Genomic DNA, 20,935 nt, shown 5'->3' with positions numbered 1-20,935 from the left:
TGTTGCATATGCTCAATTTCAAATGGAATAGAAATAACAAGAAAAGCTAAGTCATGGTTACATAAACAGCAGAGGTGCTCTTTAAATACACAAAGAATTCAGGCAGCCAGTTTAAAACAAAGTTTCAGGCTGGGCGCCGTGGCTCATGCCTGTAATTTCAGCACTTTGGGAGGCTGAGGCAGGAGGATCACCTGAGGTTAGGAGTTCGAGACCAACCTGACCAACATGGTGAAACCCGTCTCTACTAAAAATACAAAAATTAGCCAGGTGTGGTGGCGCATGTCTGTAATCCCAGTTACTTGGGAGGCTGAGGCAGGAGAATCGCTTGAACCCAGGAGGTGGAGGTTGCAGTGAGCCGAGATCACCCCATTGCACTCCAGCCTGGGTGACAGAGTGAAACTCCATCTCAAAAATAAATGAATAAATAAAAATAAATAAATGAAACAAAGTTTCAACTAGAAAATTGAGCTTCTAACAGAGGTTTTAAGAAGTTATTTCTATATAATCTCTTTCAATGATACTGGTCCTTTAACCTTTTGTTAAGATTTTCACCTCACTTGATAAACCTCAACCCAGATGGCAAAATGACACATGTGATGACAAATCGCCTACTAAAAAGTATTTACTTAACATCAATAACCAGGCAGTAGAAGTCATTGGACGTATGATTTGACTCCTTTCAAACAGTGCTGCAAAAAGGCGTAAATCATGGCAGACTGCCGAATGTAATCCAGATAAGCCCAAGAGAAAGCATAGGTTTAAGAGTCAGTAAGGCAGTTGCAGTCCCATGCCTCTATCTGCCTTTCAGGACACAAGTGTAGGGAGCTTGCATGACTGGTCTAAAGTCACTCAATGTATGGGCTTTAGTTTCCAGCCCGATGCATGCATTACATTGTTCAGCAGGTGGCATACCATGGGTGAGGTTCCTGTAGATGACCCGACGGATGCTTGCTACGTGCCCAGAGCTACCAGGTATCCTTATTTTTCTTGCATATGCTTCACTTCATTGAGTGTGGTTGAAGCAGACAAGCATAAAAGGTGTTACTCCAGGCCAGGTGCAGTGGCTCACGCCTGTAATCCCAGCACTTTGGGAGGCTGAGGTGCGTGGATCACCTGAGGTCAGGAGCTTGAGACCAGCCTGACCAACATGGAAAAACCCCATCTCTACTAAAAACACAAAATTAACCGGGTGTGGTGATGCATGCCTGTAATCCCAGCTATTCGGGAGGCTGAGGCAGGAGAATTACTTGAACCTGGGAGGTAGAGGTTGCGGTGAGCCGAGATTGTGCTATTGCACTCCAGCCTGGGCAACAAGAGCAAAACTCCGTCTCAAAAAAAAAAAAAAAAAAAAAAAAATGTTACTCTACTTAGTCTAGCCTTCATTTTGCTTACAATGTGCGTGACTTCAGCACTTCCCTGTTCATCCCCATCCCTTCTTTTAGTCAGCATTAGCTGATTTCTATAGGAGAATCTGACTGCTGTTTCAATATGTCTTTGAAACTCACGCCAGTGTTTCAGATGGTCTTGCTGCCTCGCCCTAAGCACTAAAATATTTGACTAAGAGAATGACACATTGTTCTCCTGGGATACTAGACAATGCCACTAGAATGACAGGGACCAGGGAGGTCTCTAAACATCTATAGCACAACTCACTCTTCAAAGGACTGCAGGGGTAAAGAATGTTCTCTAGAAAACAATACTCATGGGAAAACTACATTTACTTCCTTCCTACTGGGATCCTCTCAAATAATAGGAAGCGATGAGGAATCAATTGAGAATTCTGTGCTGTCTTGGGAAAAAAATGTAAAACAACACTCAGAGAAACCCTCTAAATATATGTGTTCAAAAACTCACGCCCATGAAAGTCCTTGGAAATCACCACAGTATCTTTTAAAAATTACTAAATTTAGCCACATATGGAAATCTGCACAGTTTTTCAAATATATTTTGATTATTTAACCAACATTCATATAAAATTTACAAAGCAGCAGATTTTTCCATGGCTGTTTCAAATAACAATTTTCACCCTCACAACAACCCAATAAAAAAAGGTCTCATTACAGAGGAGGAAACCGAGGTATGGGGAGGCTAAGTAAGTGACCTACAGCCACAGCCACGCGTAAGTGGCAGGATGAGGATTCGAACCCAGGCACCCTGACTCCAGACTCTACTCTTAAGTATTATGCACTTTTAAAAGTTTTCTGAAAGGTTCAACCAAGAAAGTGAGAAGCAAAGCTGCAGATGGTCTTTGCATATAGAATTGGAAGTTTTAAATGTTACCAGCGTGAGCCCAGATTCTCTCTTACAGTGAGGATTTTATTTTTACCAAGCTCTGTGAAACACACAACGCTCAGGTGCCGCCTGAAAATGTGAGAAGTCATTCGGCAAACTAATGAGGTTATTCAGACACACTCTTAAAGTTGGCGTGCTCGTTTATTTAAGGCCGGAACAGAGGTGGAGCGAATAACAGAAGGCCTCTCTACTCCAAAATATGGGTCTTTCTCACCAGTTCTAACAATTGTAGAGTTATTGGGGTTAACAAGATCCTCTTTTGGGATGTAAATACCCTCTAATATGGTTTGATCTGTGTCAACTATGCCTTAATGATGTACAAATGATCTAGATCCTGGCCTTTCCACATCCAGTCTGATGGGACTCAGTGCTTGCTTTAATCTGGAATCAGCTGTTCACGTATGCAGATGCTCGAGTCACATCCAGAGTCATTAAATCTGACTCTCTAGGGGCGGGGCCGGGGTACTGGTGTTTGTAAAAGTTTACCTTATATTCACCCAGGGATGACAGACACTACTTCATATCATTTCTCTCAAGTTTCAACATGTTTACACGCAGCCTGGGGATGTTGTGAAAATGCACATGCTGGCTCAGTAGGTCTGGGTGGGGCCTGAGGTTTTGCGTTTCTAACAAGATCCTAAGTGATGACGTTAATGTTGGTCCGTGGACTACTTTTTTAAGAAGCAAGGCCCAAGACCAGCGGTTTTCAAAGTGAGGTCAAGAATCACCCGGGAATTTGTTAGGGATGCAGAATTTCAGGCCCCGCCAGACCTACTGAATCAGACGCTCTGGGGTGGACCCAGCAATCTGTTTTTACGAAGCTTCTGGGTCATTGATGCTCACTACCTTTTGAGAACCGTTGGCCTGCATGGCACTGCCCAGTAGAAATAGAATGCAAGTCACATAGGTAATTTTAAATTAGCTAGCAGTCAGATTTGAAAAAGTAAAAAAGAAACAAGTGAAATTAATTTTAGCAAAATATCCTATTTAACATACTATGTCCAAAATACTGTCATTTCAACACATAATATAAAAATTAATGTCATAATTTACATTCTTTTTTCAACGTGTGGTCAATATAAAAATGATATGATAGTTTACATGTTTTAGGAAGAGACAACATTAATCTATTTTTATTTGTACAAATTTGTGGGGTACAAGGAGAATTTTGTTACATGGATGGACTGCATAGTGGTAAAGTCACGGATTTAATGAATGTGTCCATCACCTGAATAATGAACATCGTACCCACTGAGTAATTTCTCATCATTCACCTTTTTTTTTTGTATAAAGACCTCAAAATCTAGCATGCATTTTACACTTATATGACATCTCAGTTCTGACTAGCCGCATTGAGCTCAGTAGCCACATGTAGCCACCATATTTGGAGAGCAAAGCTTTACACTTACAGCAGAGATGATGGTACTGACTTTCACCAAATGCTTGCTGTGTGTCAGACATTACCCAGGTAAGCATTTTCTGTGCATTATTCCTATGAGCCCTATGACAACTCATTATTATCCCTGTTTTATACGAGAGTGGGTTATGTTGATCTTTGTTTCCTTAATGCCATAGCTTCTCAAGGAAAGCCAATATTTAAATGCATTATACCCTTTTTTGGTATAAACTATTATAAGGAGGAAAAAGAAAAAAACAATTAAAAAATGTGTCTGTCTGCAGCTAGGCTTCCAATTATTACCAGTAGAATTACCATTCCACATTGAGGCCAAGAGAAACAAATATCCCATGTTAGATTGGCAGGTATTTAAGACATAGTAAAATGTAACCATTTAAAATAAGTGAAAAGAAAAATGCTTTATTCTAGAGTCATTTTTTAAAGCCTGGTATACATTTTTAAAACAAAGTTGATCTTATTTATAAAATTCAGATTAGAGATTTCAAAGTTAATTTATAATTTTTTAATTTGAAATACAGTTTTAATATAAGGTCTATTGAGCCAAAGGATTTCACTGTTTTTAAATAGTACTTGAAGTAGTAGTCATGTAACCCTTTTTTTTCACATGGCATAATCCTCAGTATTTTCCATAATCTATTTCAGTGTCTTTCTTTAATGGCAAAGAAAGAATTGAATTTGAATTTGATATAAGCATCTAGCAACCAACCCTCACATTAATTATAAAATATATCAGGGCATTTTTTTTTTTTTTTTTTGAGATGGAGTCTCACTCTGTTGCCCAGGCTGGAGTGCACTGGTGCGATCTCAGCTCACCGCAACCTCCACCTCCCGGCTTCAAGCGATTCTCCTGCCTCAGCCTCCCAAGTAGCTGGGACTACAGGCGCGTGCCACGACATCCTGCTAATTTTTTGCATTTTTTTTAGAGATGGGGTTTCACCATGTTAGCCAGGATGGTCTAGATCTCCTGACCTCATGATCCACCTGCCTCAGCCTCCCAAAGTGCTGGATTACGGGCCTGAGCCACCGGCAGTTTTTTATACTGAATTCAGGTTGAAGACTCTCTTTTCATCTCCCGATGGAAAGCCTCTCAGCAGTACTTTCTGACTACTTAAGCATTCTTTTTGTAATGGGGAGTAGGGGGTTGAAAAAAACCAGGGATTTCATCTATTGGAATGAAAGCGTTCATAAACATACTTAACTGCTTCCTTGGTAGAAAGTAAGTAATTTTCCTCCCTGGTGGTGGTGTAAAGGCACAATGACTCAATGGAAGCCTGAAGTTGGTCTGATGACACACAGTATCTTCCTTCATCCACAATAGAAAGAGATCTCAGTCTTCAGCTGCCATGATGTGAATAGTCTCATCATGTGAAAAAGTCTGGAAAATATTTAAAAATTCTGTTTTTATTTATTCTCACTGCATCTGTGTGCTCTAAACCCCTGAAGGCAAGGACACTTCATTCTGCCCACCACTGTATTCCCAGAGTGCTTGGCTTATAGTAAGCTCTGAAGTGCTCACCAAATAAATATTTGCTGAATGAATGAATGAATACGACTTCTTAATTTTTATTTCTAGAAACAAAATGAAGGCTCAAAGTTTGTCAGTCATTGCCAGTGACCCAACCAGAATGATTTCTTCATTGGCCTGTGGAGGCAGAAGCAGGGGTCACTGTTTGTCTGCCTCATGTCACTGAATGGTCCCCAGTCTCTGCCAATAGATAAGAGATGTCAACGCTTAACCCAGTAGCTTTCAAAAATAGCATAGTTGATGAAACTGGAAATTTAGGTGCGGGCTCTTTTAAGAAATCATTTGTCTTCAGTCTTAAGAATAGACTGACAACAGATACTGCTACCAGAGGGCTCTCAACTATTTCTTAAGACCCCCTAGGAAATATCAGAAGAAAAGCCTCCTTCTCAATAAAGCATAAGTAGGACATCTCGTTTTCAGTGAATCAGGTAATTCATTTTGAAAACTTGAGGAGCACTGTGTTTCTTTAAGATTCCAGTCAACTTTGGGTTTGTTTTGTTTTCAATGGTGCTGGCAGTTTTCCTCAAAATTTAAATGAATATTTGCACAATGAACCAAGTCGTTGTGGGTTTCCTGGTTGGTGTTTTCTCCCCCCTGGAGTGGGGGGTGGCGATCTGGGCAAGGCATTTTCATCCCTTTGCAGACAACCCCGGCTGCTGTTAATGCTGAAAATAGCTCAAATGCTCTCAGAACAGTAGCACCACCCAGCAGCTGGGATTCTTTCCCTCTCTCATTTGCCTCTCTCTTGCTTTTTTTCCTTCAGACACTTGGATTGGACTTAATCTTAAACCTCTGGAGTTCAAGACCTTTTAAAAAGGGCTAAATAAACAATCTCTACATGTAAAAGGCCACTGACTCCTACTTCCTCTGTATAGAGCAACTGTTGAACTCAGCTGCCTGTAGGTAAGATTTTTTATTCTGGAATTATTTAATTGTTTTCTGGTATGTTCATAACTAATGTCTTTAAAATAACTTACTTATAGTGAAAATAATAAGGGGAGTTGTGAACAATTTTCAGGTAAACACGGTGTTCCAGAATACAGCAGGAGCATCTGGGCATTTTTGTGGCTGTAAGTTTTAAACTTTGCTTAAAGCTCTCATAATAGTGACCTGCAGTACACGCTTGACTATGACTAAGCCATGGATCAGAGGTCTAATTAAGCCTGATTGCCAGAGCAATGAGAGGATGTTTCAGACATCATATTTTTGTTGTTTAGACTGCTTTATTTTTAACTTTCCAGGGGCATTAAAAAAAAAAAAAGAGGAAAAAGATGCAACCATCCACCTGAGTAAAGATAATATATATAAGTAATTGTTCTTTAAGGGCAATGAGCGAGCCGTATTGTATAATGTTCTCCTTTCATCACTGTTTCGTTCATTGCTCGTGTGGAATTAGAGTGGTTGATTTGGGGGAATCTGGGGGTTTTGTTTTTGTTATTGTTGTTTTGTATGTTCCTAGCACATTTTAGGGGACAGTGTTGAGGATTCCTTACTAAGCTGACTGTCTTTTGCTGGGTACATCTGCTGGCAGGTTTCTCTAACGTGACAATGTGATACTTCGGGTCAGTTTCTGTGGCTCCCCTCTCCCCCTCGTTACGCTTGCACTTGACATTTTGCGAAGTACTTTGATCTGTGGACTTTAACTTCAAACACAGCATTTACTTTGATTGTGGCTATTTACTATGCTCAGTAAAAAGTCTCCTTTTTTTTCCTTTTGGTTTAATGCTTTCATAGCATTTCCTTTAAACAATTTATTGGAGCTTTAGTTTTCCTCACTGATCTGTCTTAGATTTCACTTCTAGAGGGACCCCCAATTGTAAGAAAAGTGTTCTCTGGTAAAGTTCTCCCCAACACAGACTTCAGGACAGTTCATGGCCCCTGTCTGGCAGATGTGTAAGAGCAAGCAGCAAATGAGAGTGCACAGAGCCCCGCGCTGGCTGCCCTGCTGCCTCAGAATCTCCGTGTGCCTTGGGGCCCAACTGGTGCTTTTTAAAAACATGGATGCTGAAATCTTTGGAGTTCAGAAATACTTTTTTTTCAGAAAAGTTTATTGGTATCACAGAGCACATATCAAAGGAAAGCATGCATTTTAACCACATAAGGATCGTCTGAGTAACAAAAACGGGAAGAAATAACAAAGAAAAAGAAAATTAGAATCAAAAGAAAACTGGAAAAAAAAAAAAAACCTTAGTAGCCAGAAGTCTGTTTTACGAGTGAAACTTCTGCTGTGTAAGGGATAAGGGATTTCTTAAAAATGTATTTCCTAAAATGGGCAAAATGTAGCACTTACTAGCCATTCAATCAGCTTTGGAATATTCTCTTCATTGTGAAGAAAGCACAGGTGTGTGTGACATTTGTTCCCTTCTTCTTTCCCACCCCAAGCACAAGGTATTTTCACAGTCCTCAGCCAAATACAGAGTTTGACGTTCCCTGGCAAACGGTCCCTGCGTGTTCTGTTGAAGGTTAGGAGTAGAATGAGCCTAATCCTGTCAGGAGACTGTTTAAGTCCCAGTCAAGGACGCTAGCTCCTCAGCGCTGACGCAGTCTGCCCCGTCCTCTGCACCTTGCTAAGAAGGACAAACGCAAGTGGCCACAGGACAAATCTCCAAAGGGGCGGAGCTGTGGAGAAAGCTACGGCAGAGATCTCCCTGGATTAGGAGCAGATGCAATCGAATCTCCAGAACTTGGATTTATAGTAGAAAAACCTAGAGATGTTCAGTCTAATCTTTAAGTTTCCCAAACCTGGGCATTTCATTGCCACTTTTCCCCTTCAAATCTACATTATAAGAAGCATGTCAATCATCGCATTTATGTGTATGGTTACCATTTTAAATCCTCCCGTTATTTTGAGCCTGGGCTTTGTTGGGGGGATGGGGTGCGTCTAGCTAGAATACTCACTCTCCCTTAGTACTGGGAAGCCTTGGTCTGCAGGGCTGAGTGCAAATATATTGCTAGAGGTGATAGTCCAGCGGCAAAATTAAATGGCACCAGGATGAAATCTTTTTGGAGAATGGTAGGTGATCATTCCATTCCCAGGCAAGCCATTTTCCCCCTGTTTTGTTTTGTTTTTTTTTTCTTTCTGTTTCTCTTCACCCCTGAATTTTACGTTGAAACTTTGGATTGTTTGAATGTGAAACTTCAGGTGAAAGCTAGCCAAAGCCACCGAGTTTCACCCAGCTTCCACATGAAAGAAGTATTCTACCCAGCCTTGCACGAAACTTGGCCTGTGTTGCCAAAGGTTTCATGAATGTCAGTGAGCCTGGATTTGAAACATAACCCAAGGCCAGGTGACTTCTGGTGACTTTGAGGCTTTATTGTATTAGTATAGAATCTGCTGAACAGGGACAGTCCTATTTCCGCATCTTCTACTATAGTTTCATGAGGGCACACGTTTTCCCCCAGTAAACTCCCATTTATCTCATGATGTTTGAAAGCCAGGTTCAATCCTAATGTGAATGTTTGTAGCCGTGGGATCGAAGCACTGGCAGATAGAGGTCTGCGTTTTAAATTCCAGCAGCCTGGCCCTCAGTGGTGTGAACATGTTGGTATAATTCAGCTGAAGGAAGGAAGTCCCGGGAGAGCCGTGGAATGCCTTTCTTTGCTTAAATATACCTCTGTGCTCGTGAGGAACAAACAGTAACATTTTGTCCAGGTCTATCCGCTTGACAGTATGCCTTTTGTTCCCTCTCCAAAGGTGGTGTCAAATATATTGGTGGAAAAATAATAAACTTCCAGATATTTTTTTTCCGCCTGCTCAACTGATATACTCCAAGGGAACATTGCAAGCATTGAGAAGTTCAGTACTGTGGCTGGGAATGTAAGGTATACTGAGAATAAAGGAGCTCTCAGTGAAGGCAATGTCCCTCAGAAAAGCATGGCGACCCAGAGTTGATGTGGGTGTGAACGGTCAGATGGTCCCCGGTTGGGAAGGGGTGTGTGTGTGTTTTCTGGGTCGGGGTAGTAGCGAGCAGAGAGGAAAAGGGAGATTTGTAAGCTTTGTTCAGCAAATCTGTCACATCGAAAACAAAAATAATCAAGCCCAGGATCTGAAAACATTCCTTTCTTTTGTAGATCATATAAATTTGTGTTGGCTGAATATTGAATTTTTTTGTATTATTTTTCTCATTAGAGACACCAAGCATTAGGATTCCAGGCATAGTAAATAATCTCCAATGAAAATATGACCCATTGGGAAACATAAAATCATTGCAGATAACTCCCATGAGTCAGTCCCAGGAAGGTCCTCATGGTTCTCTGGCAGTTATGAAATGCTAAGCCACCCAGGACACTAAGATCTGACTTGTCCTTTTCTTAGTTGGGAGATTTCTAAACTCATGTGAAGAATTTTCATAAAAATGAATGTGTGGCCTCACTAAAGATTTAGGCTATCTTTGGTGAGATACATAGATATAGATTTATTATAAAATTAAATTGCCATCAAATTTCATTTTGAAATTTCATAGTCACTTATATATTCAATAAAACAGACTTTCATTAAAGATGTGGTTTGCATTTTAGCAGGTGACATGCAGTGGATGCCCTAGTAGAGAAAGCACTGGAAAAGCTAGCAATAACACAATTTGGAAGTGCCATATGTAGAAGCTGCTTTTTAGCACTGGCTTCACCAGTCATAGTGTAGCATTTATCAGCATATGTGATTTGATAGCCCCAGACTGGTACAGTGAGCAGAGGAAAGGAAGATGTTCAAATGGAGGTTCTAGAGAAAATCATTCAGAACCATCCCACAAGGAAGCTCTCACTAACCATATCAAGGTATAAGGAGTTCAGTAGTTTTAAGACATTCATCATCCATAACAAAACAGAAAAAGGGGAAGGATAGGCTTGGCGTGGTGGCTCACGCCTATAACCCCAGCACGTTGGGAGGCCGAGGCAGGTGGATCACTTGAGATCAGGAGTTCAAGACCAGCCTGACCAAAATGGTGAAACCCCATCTCTACTAAAAAAAAAAAAAAAATGCAAAATTAGCCAGGCATGGTGGTGCACACCTATAATCCCAGCTACTTGGGAGGCTGAAGTGGGAGAATAGCTTGAACCTGGGAGGCGGAGGGTGCAGTGAGCCAAGATCCCACCATTGCACTCCAGCCTGGGCAACAAGAGTGAAACTCTGTCTCAAAAAAAAAAAAAAAAAAAAAAGGAAACGATGAAAATGCCAGGGAAAGGATTAAAAAAAAATTAAAAATTGAGAATCAACACCAAGCTAGTGTATGTGCAAATATTTCTCTAAATCATTAAAAATCTTATTTCAAGAAGACTTCATTTGTCATTTAAGAATGCAAAAATCAGTGCTTTAAAAATCTTTTTGTGCTTAATTGACTGTCAGAGAAAAATGGAGTCCATATAATATTTATTTCTCAAGGATATATTATTACAGTCTAAATTTACATATACAATGTACTTGTTTTATTTTTTTTTTAAATCAGTGTTTGTCTGATCAGGACATGATGACACAAAACAGTAACAGCAGTAGTCTCCCCTTTGCAGTAGAGCAAAGAGGATTATTTATCATAAGCAGATTAAACAGTCATTTCTAGAAGTCTGCATTCTCCAACCAAGTTTTTATTAGTTATTTGGATATTATGTTTTTCTCTGAAATAAGAAGTAGTAGAGCCTGAGCATCTCTACTCTAAAAGTCCGAAATCCAAAATGTTCCAAAATCTGCAACGTTTTGAGCACCAACATGATGCCACAATTGGACAATGAAGATGACATTAACACGGCAGAAAATGTGCATACAGATGCCACAGTGACAATGTGATGGGCTAATTGAAGGACTAGAGTGGAGTGCATTCCTAACAGAATAAGCAGTCATGTCCATTTAGAAACTCAAAGAGAGACTTCTAAGACAAAAATCGCTGTTAATGAGGCAGATGACGCTGGAGAAAACATTTTAAAAGCCATCCTACTCGGGAGGCTGAGGCAGGAGAATCACTTGAAACTGGGAGGCGGAGGTTGCAGTGAGCCGAGATCGTGCCACTGCACTCTAGCCTGGGTGACAGGGTGAGACTTCGTCTCAAAAAAAAAAAAAAATGCCATCCGGCAGAATGCCTCTCATTTCTCAGAGGACCCGCTTCATGATCTGTCAACTGCTTCAGATGTTTCTTATCACCTAAAAAAGAAAAAAAATACAGTGTACAGTGCCCTTTACTCCAAACACAGCATCATAGGTGGCAACTGAAAGCCTGCATTGTTTGTTGCTGCTGTTGTCTAACAGCTGAGAAAGGAAAACGGTCTTTTTCCTGTGCTGCCCAGTTACCTAAACACATTATTTTTCACTGTATTAATAGGATGTATCTTTACTGTTTAAAAAATAGTAGTATTAGGCTGGGCACAGTGGCTCACGCCTACAATCCCAGCACTTTCGGAGGCCAAGGCGGGTGGATCACCTGAGGTCGGGAGTTCGAGACTAGCCTGACCAACATGGAGAAACCCCATCTCTATTAAAAATACAAAATTAGCCGGGCATGGTGGTGCATGCCTGTAATCCCAGCTACTCAGGAGGCTGAGGCAGGAGAATTGCTTGAACCCGGGAGGCACAGGTTGCCGTGAGCCGAGATGGTGTCATTGCACTCCAGCCTGGGCAACAAGAGCAAGACTCTTTCAAAAACAAAAATAGTAGTATTTTCTACTGTTAAGTACTCACGTCTGAGTAAGAGCAGGAAAATGATTGCTTATTGGTAGCAAATAAATTCAGTCAGGAATGATGGTGATGCCAAACAACACCAGATTTTCCATGTGGGTGGCTGAGATATTGATGCCTTTGCTTTCTGACGGTTCAGTGTACACAAACTTCATTTTATGCACAAAATTATTAAAAACGCTGTATAAAATTACCTTCAGGCTATTTGGATACACTACATATAACATAAGCGAATTTCACATTTGGATCTGGGTCCTGTCCCCAAGATGACGCAGGATGGATATGCAAATATTCCAAAATCTGAAAAAATCTGAAATCCAAAATGCATCTCCAGTCTCCCATGTGCCTTTGACTTACACCTTCATGCTAAGGGTTGACTTTTTTTTTTCCCTGGTACTACAAGATGCTCCCGCATCATTTTGTACATTTCATGTCCTAGTCCTAAAATCAATTATTTCTTCAAGGAGCTCTGGTTACTTTTATTGAAAAATGGTATCAGTAATCAAGACCAGGGCATCCATTTTTAATTTTTGAATGTGACCTTATTGGCCACTTACTTTTTTCACTTGAAGAAAATTTTCTTTTTGTGTATGGAATTTCACTCTGTAGCTGTCAATACCTTGATCTGGTGTATAAAGATAACCTTTCTTGCTTTTTCAGAAGAACAGGCCACATGTCGCCCTTGCATACTCCCCTTTCCCTTACTTTGAAACAAATTCAATTAAATATGATCAAATTTGCATTTTTTTTTGTTTTTTTGTTTTTTTTTTTTTGAGACAGAGTCTCACTCTGTTGCCCAAGCTGGAGTGCTGTGGTGCAATCTTGGCTCACTGCAACCTCCGCCTCCCAGGTTCAAGTGATTCTCGTGCCTCACCCTCCTGAGTAGCTGGGATTACAGGCACGTGTCACCACGCAAGCTAATTTTTGTGCTTTTAGAAGAGATGGGGTTTTGCCATGTTGCCCAGGCTGCCAGGCTGGTCTCATAGTCCAGACCTCAAGTGATCCACCCACCTCGGCCTTCCAAGATGCTGGGATTACAGGTGTGAGCCACTGCACTTGGCCAAATTTGTTTTTCATTGTTAGTCTTGGTGAGAGATTCAAAGCCTTTGATATGGTCTTGAAATGCAATCTTAAAAGATAGAAATCAGTTGTTTCTTCCTTAAATAGACGTGAGAACATTGTGCATTATTTAAAATGTGATCAGTCTAGGCCCTTCAATGAACATGGGATTCTGTTACCAAGCCTTGTACGTACTGTGTGCAAGGAGCCGTGCCACAGGCAGATGAACAGTCTGGTAGGAGAGCTGGGCACATACACCTGGATATAACACTCTGCAAAAGAAGATGGGCAATGTGAAGTCCCCCAGAACTCTAGGAGCTCAGAGCTGGAATTGGGAGCTGGGCGTATATTGTACTAGAAAATCAGTGGTATTATCACAAAGGAAAAGCTGTACTGGAATTAGGATTTTGGTTTGGATAAGAGGGTATTCAAATGGCAGAAGGTGATGGACAGCAAAGATTCAGAGGAGAGAAAACTCAGGACTCAAAGAATATTTAGGTCCCATGCAAAGCCCCTGGGAAGGTGCATTGAGTTTGTGTTTATTTATTGAGAACAAAAGTCTCACCATCAGGCTCATGTGTTAGTAATACTGCTGAGCAATGTTCAAGGTGATTAGAGAAATGAAACGCTGGACAGACCCTGTTACACAGATGTAACTGAGAAGAGGAGGACAAAGACGAGAGCACTTGAAATAAGATGAGACCAATTGGTGCAGAGACCGAGGCCTCGGGGCAGTCAGTACTGCCCTGTGTATCTAGACTTTGTCCTAGAAAGTAAAACTTACCTGTAAAATAATTGCACCTATAATTTTATTTAATGCTCAGTATTATCAGAGATGAAAGGTTGTGTTTTTATTATTTCACCAAATGCATAGCTCTTTCATTTTCTTTCTCTTTTTTTTTTTTTTTTTTTTGAGACAGAGTCTCACTCTGTCGCCCAGGCTGGAGTGCAGGGGCGCGATCTCGGCTCACTGCAAGCTCCGCCTCCCGGGTTCACGCCATTCCCCTGCCTCAGCCTCCCGAGTAACTGGAACTACAGGCGCCCGCCACCACGCCCGGCTAATTTTTTGTATTTTTAGTAGAGACGGGGTTTCACCGTGTGTTAGCCAGGCTGGTCTCGATCTCCTGACCTCGTGATCCGCCCGCCTCGGCCTCCCAAAGTGCTGGGATTACAGGCCTGAGCCACCGCGCCCGGCCAGCTCTTTCATTTTCAATAAAACAAGAAAACCATTGGTCCAGGCAGTGAAGACGACATTTCAAATCCTAAGTTTTGGCTTTCTGTACTTCACTGAGAGAAAAACAAGCACGGGAGGTGAAGATTACAGAGAAAGACATGAATGTGCCAATAGTATAATGAGCCAAATGTTAGGACGAGGCTGGTTGAAATAACCTGTCGGCATACCGAAAAGAATCGAGTTAGGAAATTGACACAGTTTAAAAAAAATTTTAAAGACCAGCTTGATATTAGAAAGGATAGAATAGAAACATTATTCTCTTGTTCTCAAATAAATTTATGCCTGAAAAAAAAAGAGATTGAATTTAGCTTAATAGAAAAACACACGTACAGCATGTATTTTTAAGGCATTGCATGTTGGCTACTGTGACCCCTGGAATATGCTGGTCCAAGTACAAATCTGAATTGGTTTAATGCTAGATCTTGACATGCCCTCAACTCAGTGGTACTTCTTTAGTTCAATTTTGCAAACCTAAAAAATTCGATTGGTATTGAATTTAGCTCCAGGTGGTATCCAGGAGTTTTGTGTGTGTTTGAACTGAACTTTGAAATATTTCAAAACTATGTAACTCTCAAGTTTTAGAACAAATTGTTAATTTTCAAAACACTCAAGAATGTTGAAAAGTTACAGATGGGTATATTTTTTGTGAATTACAAAAATATGTGAATATACAATTAAATGTGGTTTTCAAATATAACTTTGATCTGTAGATCTACAGTATTTTCTATTTCACATTTATCTTTTTTACCATAAGAGTATTCACTTTTAAAACAAAAACTGTTGAAGACCATGGTTAAGAATGGGAGACTATCCGAAACCCAATATGGCCATCTAAATGTACGGTGAGATGAGAAAGCCCATCCTTGTGGTCCCAGCAGAGCCAAGTGTTGGAAGGTGTGGCCTGGCACACCAGATGGTTCATTTCTGTGCACATCTATGAGTAGGCCCATAGTGAAGGGACTCAGCCAGGAATTGTTGGAGATAAAGATGGAGGTTCAGTGCAAATTCAAGAAGGATGTCAGATGTCAGACTAAGGGATCCACGCCTCATTCTGAAGTAGAAAATGGTTTTTCCCTCTGTTTGTAAAGGGCAGTAAAACACTCCCTTTTGGAGAAAACTTACAGAGTGACATCTCTTAGCAGCAGAAATTCGATGTTTTCTTTAAAAATTGTATTTCTGACATCAAATTAAATCATTAGAATTTTCTTTTTATATCCACTATGACTATTTTTATTCAAGGCAGAATAAGACAAAAATTAAGTGTAAACAAGTTTATAAAGTTTGTATTGATATAATAGAAGACTGGCTTATGATGGAAAACTAAAAAAACAAGTAAAAATGAAAAGCCGAGTGAAAAGGTAAATTCAGAGGTAGACTTTTATGTGGAAAAAGTAATAAAATACTACCTTTTTCTGTGGTAAAAAAATTGATGATGCCTACTTGTCTACATTCAAAATATATTTTATTTTGTGTTTGAGCATCTTTAAGAATTAACGGATGTATTTCATATTTGGAAATTAATTTAGAATTGGCACACACGTGTTTTTTTGTCTCACATGGTGAGATCCACCTCTTAATAACCACAGCTTGTAAAAACTTGTCTGAAATCAAAGTGATAATTTTTATGCAAAGGTGAGAAAGCTTGATTGCAGTGAGATTTTTATCCCCTTACAATTTTTTATGTATTTTGGATATCAAAATTAAAAAACGTTTGATGTTAAAAATCATTTGTGTCCACATCATAATTTTTTATGTTCACATGTATAATTTTTCTAATCAATATTCTAAAATACTTAAAACCACAGGTGTAAAAACATTTGGCAGAAGACTATTTGGTATGTTTAACCCTCAGCTGTGCTTATTAATTTAAGAATTATCTAACATATAAATCAGAAAGGAAGGAAATGAGGAATTCACTAGTAAAACCAAATAGTGTTTTAGGTGACCATAGATAACTACTTTTAATGCCTAAAGCAATTTCATTTTCATTGAATAAAATATTTTCATGAGGGTCTTTTCATATTGCTTCATTTATTTATTGAAGGCATTTCACCACCATATATGAATCATATGAGTTTTGTGGTTTAAAACTTTACATTCTGACTGTAGATCAGTCTGAATCAGTGCAGAAAAAAAAACTGATGAAACCCAACACAGGCTTTCAAGATAAAAACTCACAACCAGACAAAGGAAGGAATTACTTTAACCTTAAAAAGAGTATTCATTAAAAACCTACATCATCATAATGTAAAGAAATATATGGACTGATAAATATTACATTCAGATAATGGTTACCTCTGGAGGTAGGAAGGCACTTCCAATTAGAGACATGTGCAGCAGGCTTTAATTGAATTAGTATCTTCTATTTTAAGATAAATGATGGGTACATGGACATTTGTTATATTATTCTCTTCATCATTTGAACGACTCAATAAAGACCTGCATTAAAACATCTTTCCCTCTATTTGCTATTTCTTAAATTTAAGATAAATTCTACATAGGAAGTAAATTGTAAATATCTTTCACAGCTGCTAACATTGAGGAACTATGTAAAACATAAATACATTACTTAAAGCAGCCCAAATTTTCTGAAAATTTATCACAGATAGTATAATGTTTGGCCTATACTTCCATATTTTTGGTCTAGGGCTCAAAACTTCTATAAATGGTGAATTCAAAGAGAAAATGAATTTAGTTCCTTAGCAGACAAACATCTTTTGTAAACTTACATTCAAGATGGTTTTTGTAGTGTGTATCTTTTTGTATGGCATTGTTATAAATCTGATATTTACTCTTTAAGTTATCAAATAGTTTGTCATTATGTTTTATGAAAATTTATAATGGGCTTTGAATCTAGCAGTGTATACATTATCTTAACCTCTTTAACACTGGTTTTGGGTCAACAGGTTGAGAAGAAAGGATTTCTGTTTTAAGAGAATTTATGTAATAAATGTATGAAAAGTGAGTAAAACAGACAAGCAGTCCTCTCAGTTGCTACAGGACTATGGAGAGCAGTGATATGGCTGGATATGCTTGAGTTTCCTGTTGACACGATACCAGGCAAAATAGGACTACCTGTTTTTAATATAAAGACTTCATTCTGTAGCTTATATATTTCGTGTAATTTAATTTATTCAGAAAAGCTTATATACACACAGCTTTTCCTTAATAATATTTATACTTCCTTAATGTTATTGGAAAAAGCTAGTGACTTTTCATTACCATTTGGCAGGAACCAGTGCTTAATTTTGAGGATTTTTATTCCAATTTTTTCTATTTGTTTTATCCATAGACTCATTCCAATTATGCTAAAATGCGAAAGCTGGTAGACATCACTATCTTTTTAAGAGTTTTGACAAAATGGATAATATTGAATAATTTTTCTTTACAAGTAATTTCACATGTAATCTGAAAATTCAGTGCAAGCCAAAAGTCTTTATAATTTTAAATCATTAAATTCAAAGAAAAGATGGTTTCTATGTTTCTAGGTGTAAGGAAGGCAAAATTATACCTCTCCTCTGTTAGGATTTGTTAGGGGATGGGGCACGTGGGTGTTGTGCCTGAGAATTAAATTGACATAAGACAGATCCACAGGAGAAAAACATATACATTTATTTAATATAAGTTTATGTGGCATGAAAACCTTCAGAATTTGTGAAGACCCAAAGATGCAGTTTGTATTGACCACTTATATAAGGAATTAGACAAAGAGCAGTAAATTGCAGAAATGTGATGAGGTGGGGGGTCGGGGGCTTGGGCCAGGGCAGGTGATTGGAGGAGAATGGCTGGGAAGGAAGGGCCAGTATAGCAGGTGGTACAGGTTTCCCTCAGCCTCAGCTTCTGGTCCTTGCCCATAGGAATCATGCCTCCCACCTGGCCAAGGGAGGACACCTTTCACATGGGAATGTCATCTCCTGCTTTTCAGAAACAGAAGGAAGGTCAGAGTGATCTTCTTGTACCTGCTTTTTGTTTTTGTTTTTGTTTTTGTTTTTGAGAGAGTCTCTCTCTGTCACCCAGGCTGGAGTGCAGTGGCGCAATCTCGGCTCACTGCAACCTCCGCCTCCCGGGTTCAAGTGATTCTCCTGCCTCAGCCTCCTGAATAGCTGGGATTACAGGCACCTGCCACCACACCCAGCTAATTTTTGTATTTTTAGTAGAGATGGGATTTCACCATGTTGGCCAGGCTGGTCTCGAACTCCTGACCTCAGGTGATCCACCCGCTTCAGCCTCCCAAAGTGCTGGGATTACAGGCATAAGCCACCACGCCCGACCTCACCTGGTTTTTCTTAAGTGCCTTTAACTAAAAATACTGAATATGCCAGAGTGGTGTATTTTGGGATGCCATGTTCTTAACTCGTTCATAAGTAAAGTTCATGAAAGCATATAAATATATTTAAATAATAATAAACACACTGAGAGAAATGACACAAAAAATAATTTTGAATTTTCTCATGTCATTGTTACTAAAGCTGAGAAACCAGATATTACATAATTAACATAAAGCGGTATTGGAAACAAATGTGGAGACAAGTCTTTTAGATTACTGGCATTACATGCTGCTGACTCTCGCATCTTCATGAAATCTGTTCCCCTTTGCCTTCTGTGACACTGGAAGCTTCTGATTTACCTTCAGTCTCTCTGATTACATCTTCTGAATTCCACTTACAGGTGCCCTTTTTTTTTTTTGCCCAACCTTAAAGTTACTCCCTTGGGTTCTGTCCCTCTCGTCTAAATCTCTGTAATCTTCCCTGAGTTCACCTGTTTCTTCCTTCACGATAATCCCTAATCTCTATCCCTGATCTCTTGTGAAAGTTCCAGACTCACATTTCCAAGAAGCTGGTGAACATTCCCTTTGAATGTCTTCTGAGTACCTCAAATTCAATGCGTCTAAAACTCACTTTCCAACTCCCACCCTGCTCTTCCTTCCCAGGGCTGGATCTTGACGATGGTGCCACCCAGTTACTGAGAATTAGAATCTTAGACAAGCATTCGAATTTTTCTTCATACCAACTTAGTCCCTACTCATTGATTCTACTTACATACACGTCTTCAATATCACTCCTTTCCTAGTTCACAGGCTATTGCAACATCCTTGACTAGGATTTCTCAGTAGTATCCTGACTACACTTTACATCCATTCTCTCTGCCTTCCGTGTAACCCCTTGCGGCTGAGTTATCTTGCCAAAATAAATCAGCTTTGCATGTAGACTTCCCATCTACCAAACTTCTATTACATAGCAAGTTGTGCACTTTGCTGTCTGTTGAGGTTTTGAGGATCAGGAAAGATAACTGTGTCAACCAATGAAGGTAAATTCAGTGCATTGTGTTTAGACATAAATAGCCCTGTGTTTTCAAAGATAAAAGGCAGGGCTGGCAACATTTCCAGATTCCTTAGTAAGGAAAGGGTGTGGCTCACTGCTGGGCATGGAACTCAGATTCAATGTCAGCCCTGCTACTAACCTCAAAACACCCTTTTCCTCAGATTCTCTTTCGGACACAATGTTCACAAATCACTTGCTTCGTTGTCACTTACTCCTAATTTCCTTCCTTTCTGATTCACATATAAGATCATTCTTCTTCAATTAATAAGCACAACAATCATTTGTTGAGAGCCTACTCAAGACTCTGTACTTGTCCGTGACAGTCACTGGGAGCATAGCCTTTCTCCAATGACATCGCCCTGAACATCCACTCTAAAAATGCAGGTGAATTTATGTGATGGCCTTTGTGCCTTGGGAAAAATATCTTCAGAATGAGAGCTATCTATAGTAGCATATATACATTATCCATGGATTATAGAGATATTGTTGTATTTGCTTCTATGTAAATATCAAAGGAGTATTATTCTGATATGATCTATGGAAGTTGAATGTGACTTTGGAGAAAAACTTAAGCTTTCGGTACAGATTTTCAAGATCAACATTCAGGAAAAAGTCTAACAGAGGGATATTGAAGTAAAATCTCTGAATGAATAAAGACATTACTGATGGCAGCTATGAATTCAAGTATTTTAACATATGTTCAGGTGTTTGCTTTGGGGCATGGAAGGAGTTAAAAGTGAAGGAAAATGTTTAAAGTTTTCTTCTTCACTTTGAACTACATTTCAAAGAAGTACATAATTTTGACATAAAAGATATATTTCCTTCATAGACTAACACAAGTATATGTGTGTCTGAATGAATTAAATCTTATGTTTGGGGTTGTATCTATTAACTTTTATTATGTAACTGAAATAGCAATCATTTAAAATGAAATGTTTTCTGCTCTGCTAACATGGTGACAGATTATTCCGAGTAGGATTGGTGACACTGCTTTCTTCTGCTCCTTGTCCTCAGTCACATTCTTGAAATTGGCAACAAAGCAGATTTGATTTAATTTTTATATCCTCATGCAACTAATGAGAAGGAAATGTGTTTTTAATGCACTGCACACTTTTATCTTCCTGGACGTGTTCATGAACTCGTATTTGTGAAAGGCAGCCGAGCTTTTTTGTGGTGTATCTTTGCCAGGGATCAGTATTGTTCTATCCAATGCTGCTGCATCCCAAAGCCTGTGTAGACGCATTATGCAGACATAGGATGCCTATACAGATGCATTTTGTTAATTTTTTTTTTTGAGACAAAGTTTCACTCTTGTTGCCCAGGCTGGAGCGCAATGGCGCGATCTCAGCTCACTGCAATCTCCGCCTCCCAGGTTCAAGTGGTTCTCCTGCCTCAGTCTCCTGAGAAGCTGGTATTACAGGTGCCCACC

General features: G+C 39.4%; 1 protein-coding gene across 36 annotated transcripts in view, besides 1 other annotated feature; it reads left to right on the top strand.

Annotated features, from left to right (window-relative positions):
- The window catches only part of SORBS2 (sorbin and SH3 domain containing 2), a 370,850-nt gene that overhangs the window by 175,009 nt on the left and 174,906 nt on the right, over window positions 1-20,935 (top strand). For 30 of the 36 annotated variants that reach the window (NM_001394267.1, NM_001394264.1, NM_021069.6 and 27 more), the window contains one exon: window positions 5,998-6,137. The exons of 1 other annotated variant lie outside the window; for it this stretch is intronic. The gene's annotated coding sequence lies outside the window, so the exon portion shown is untranslated. Of the gene's footprint in view, window positions 1-5,509; window positions 5,663-5,997; window positions 6,138-20,935 lie in introns of those variants that run through there. 5 more of the 36 variants (NM_001394255.1, NM_001394270.1, NM_001394247.1 and 2 more) reach the window with 2 other exon arrangements.
- Window positions 5,755-6,049: a silencer, noted in NCBI's record as "tiled region #123; K562 Repressive non-DNase unmatched - State 21:Repr". NCBI's record gives its function as "represses a minimal TATA promoter and a strong SV40 promoter by Sharpr-MPRA in K562 cells {active_cell/tissue: K562}" and the evidence as "EXISTENCE:reporter gene assay evidence [ECO:0000049][PMID:27701403]".

Source organism: Homo sapiens, chromosome 4, assembly GCF_000001405.40.
Source record: "Homo sapiens chromosome 4, GRCh38.p14 Primary Assembly".
NCBI classification, from domain to species: Eukaryota; Metazoa; Chordata; class Mammalia; order Primates; family Hominidae; genus Homo; species Homo sapiens.
This window is presented reverse-complemented; position numbering and strand designations above follow the sequence as displayed.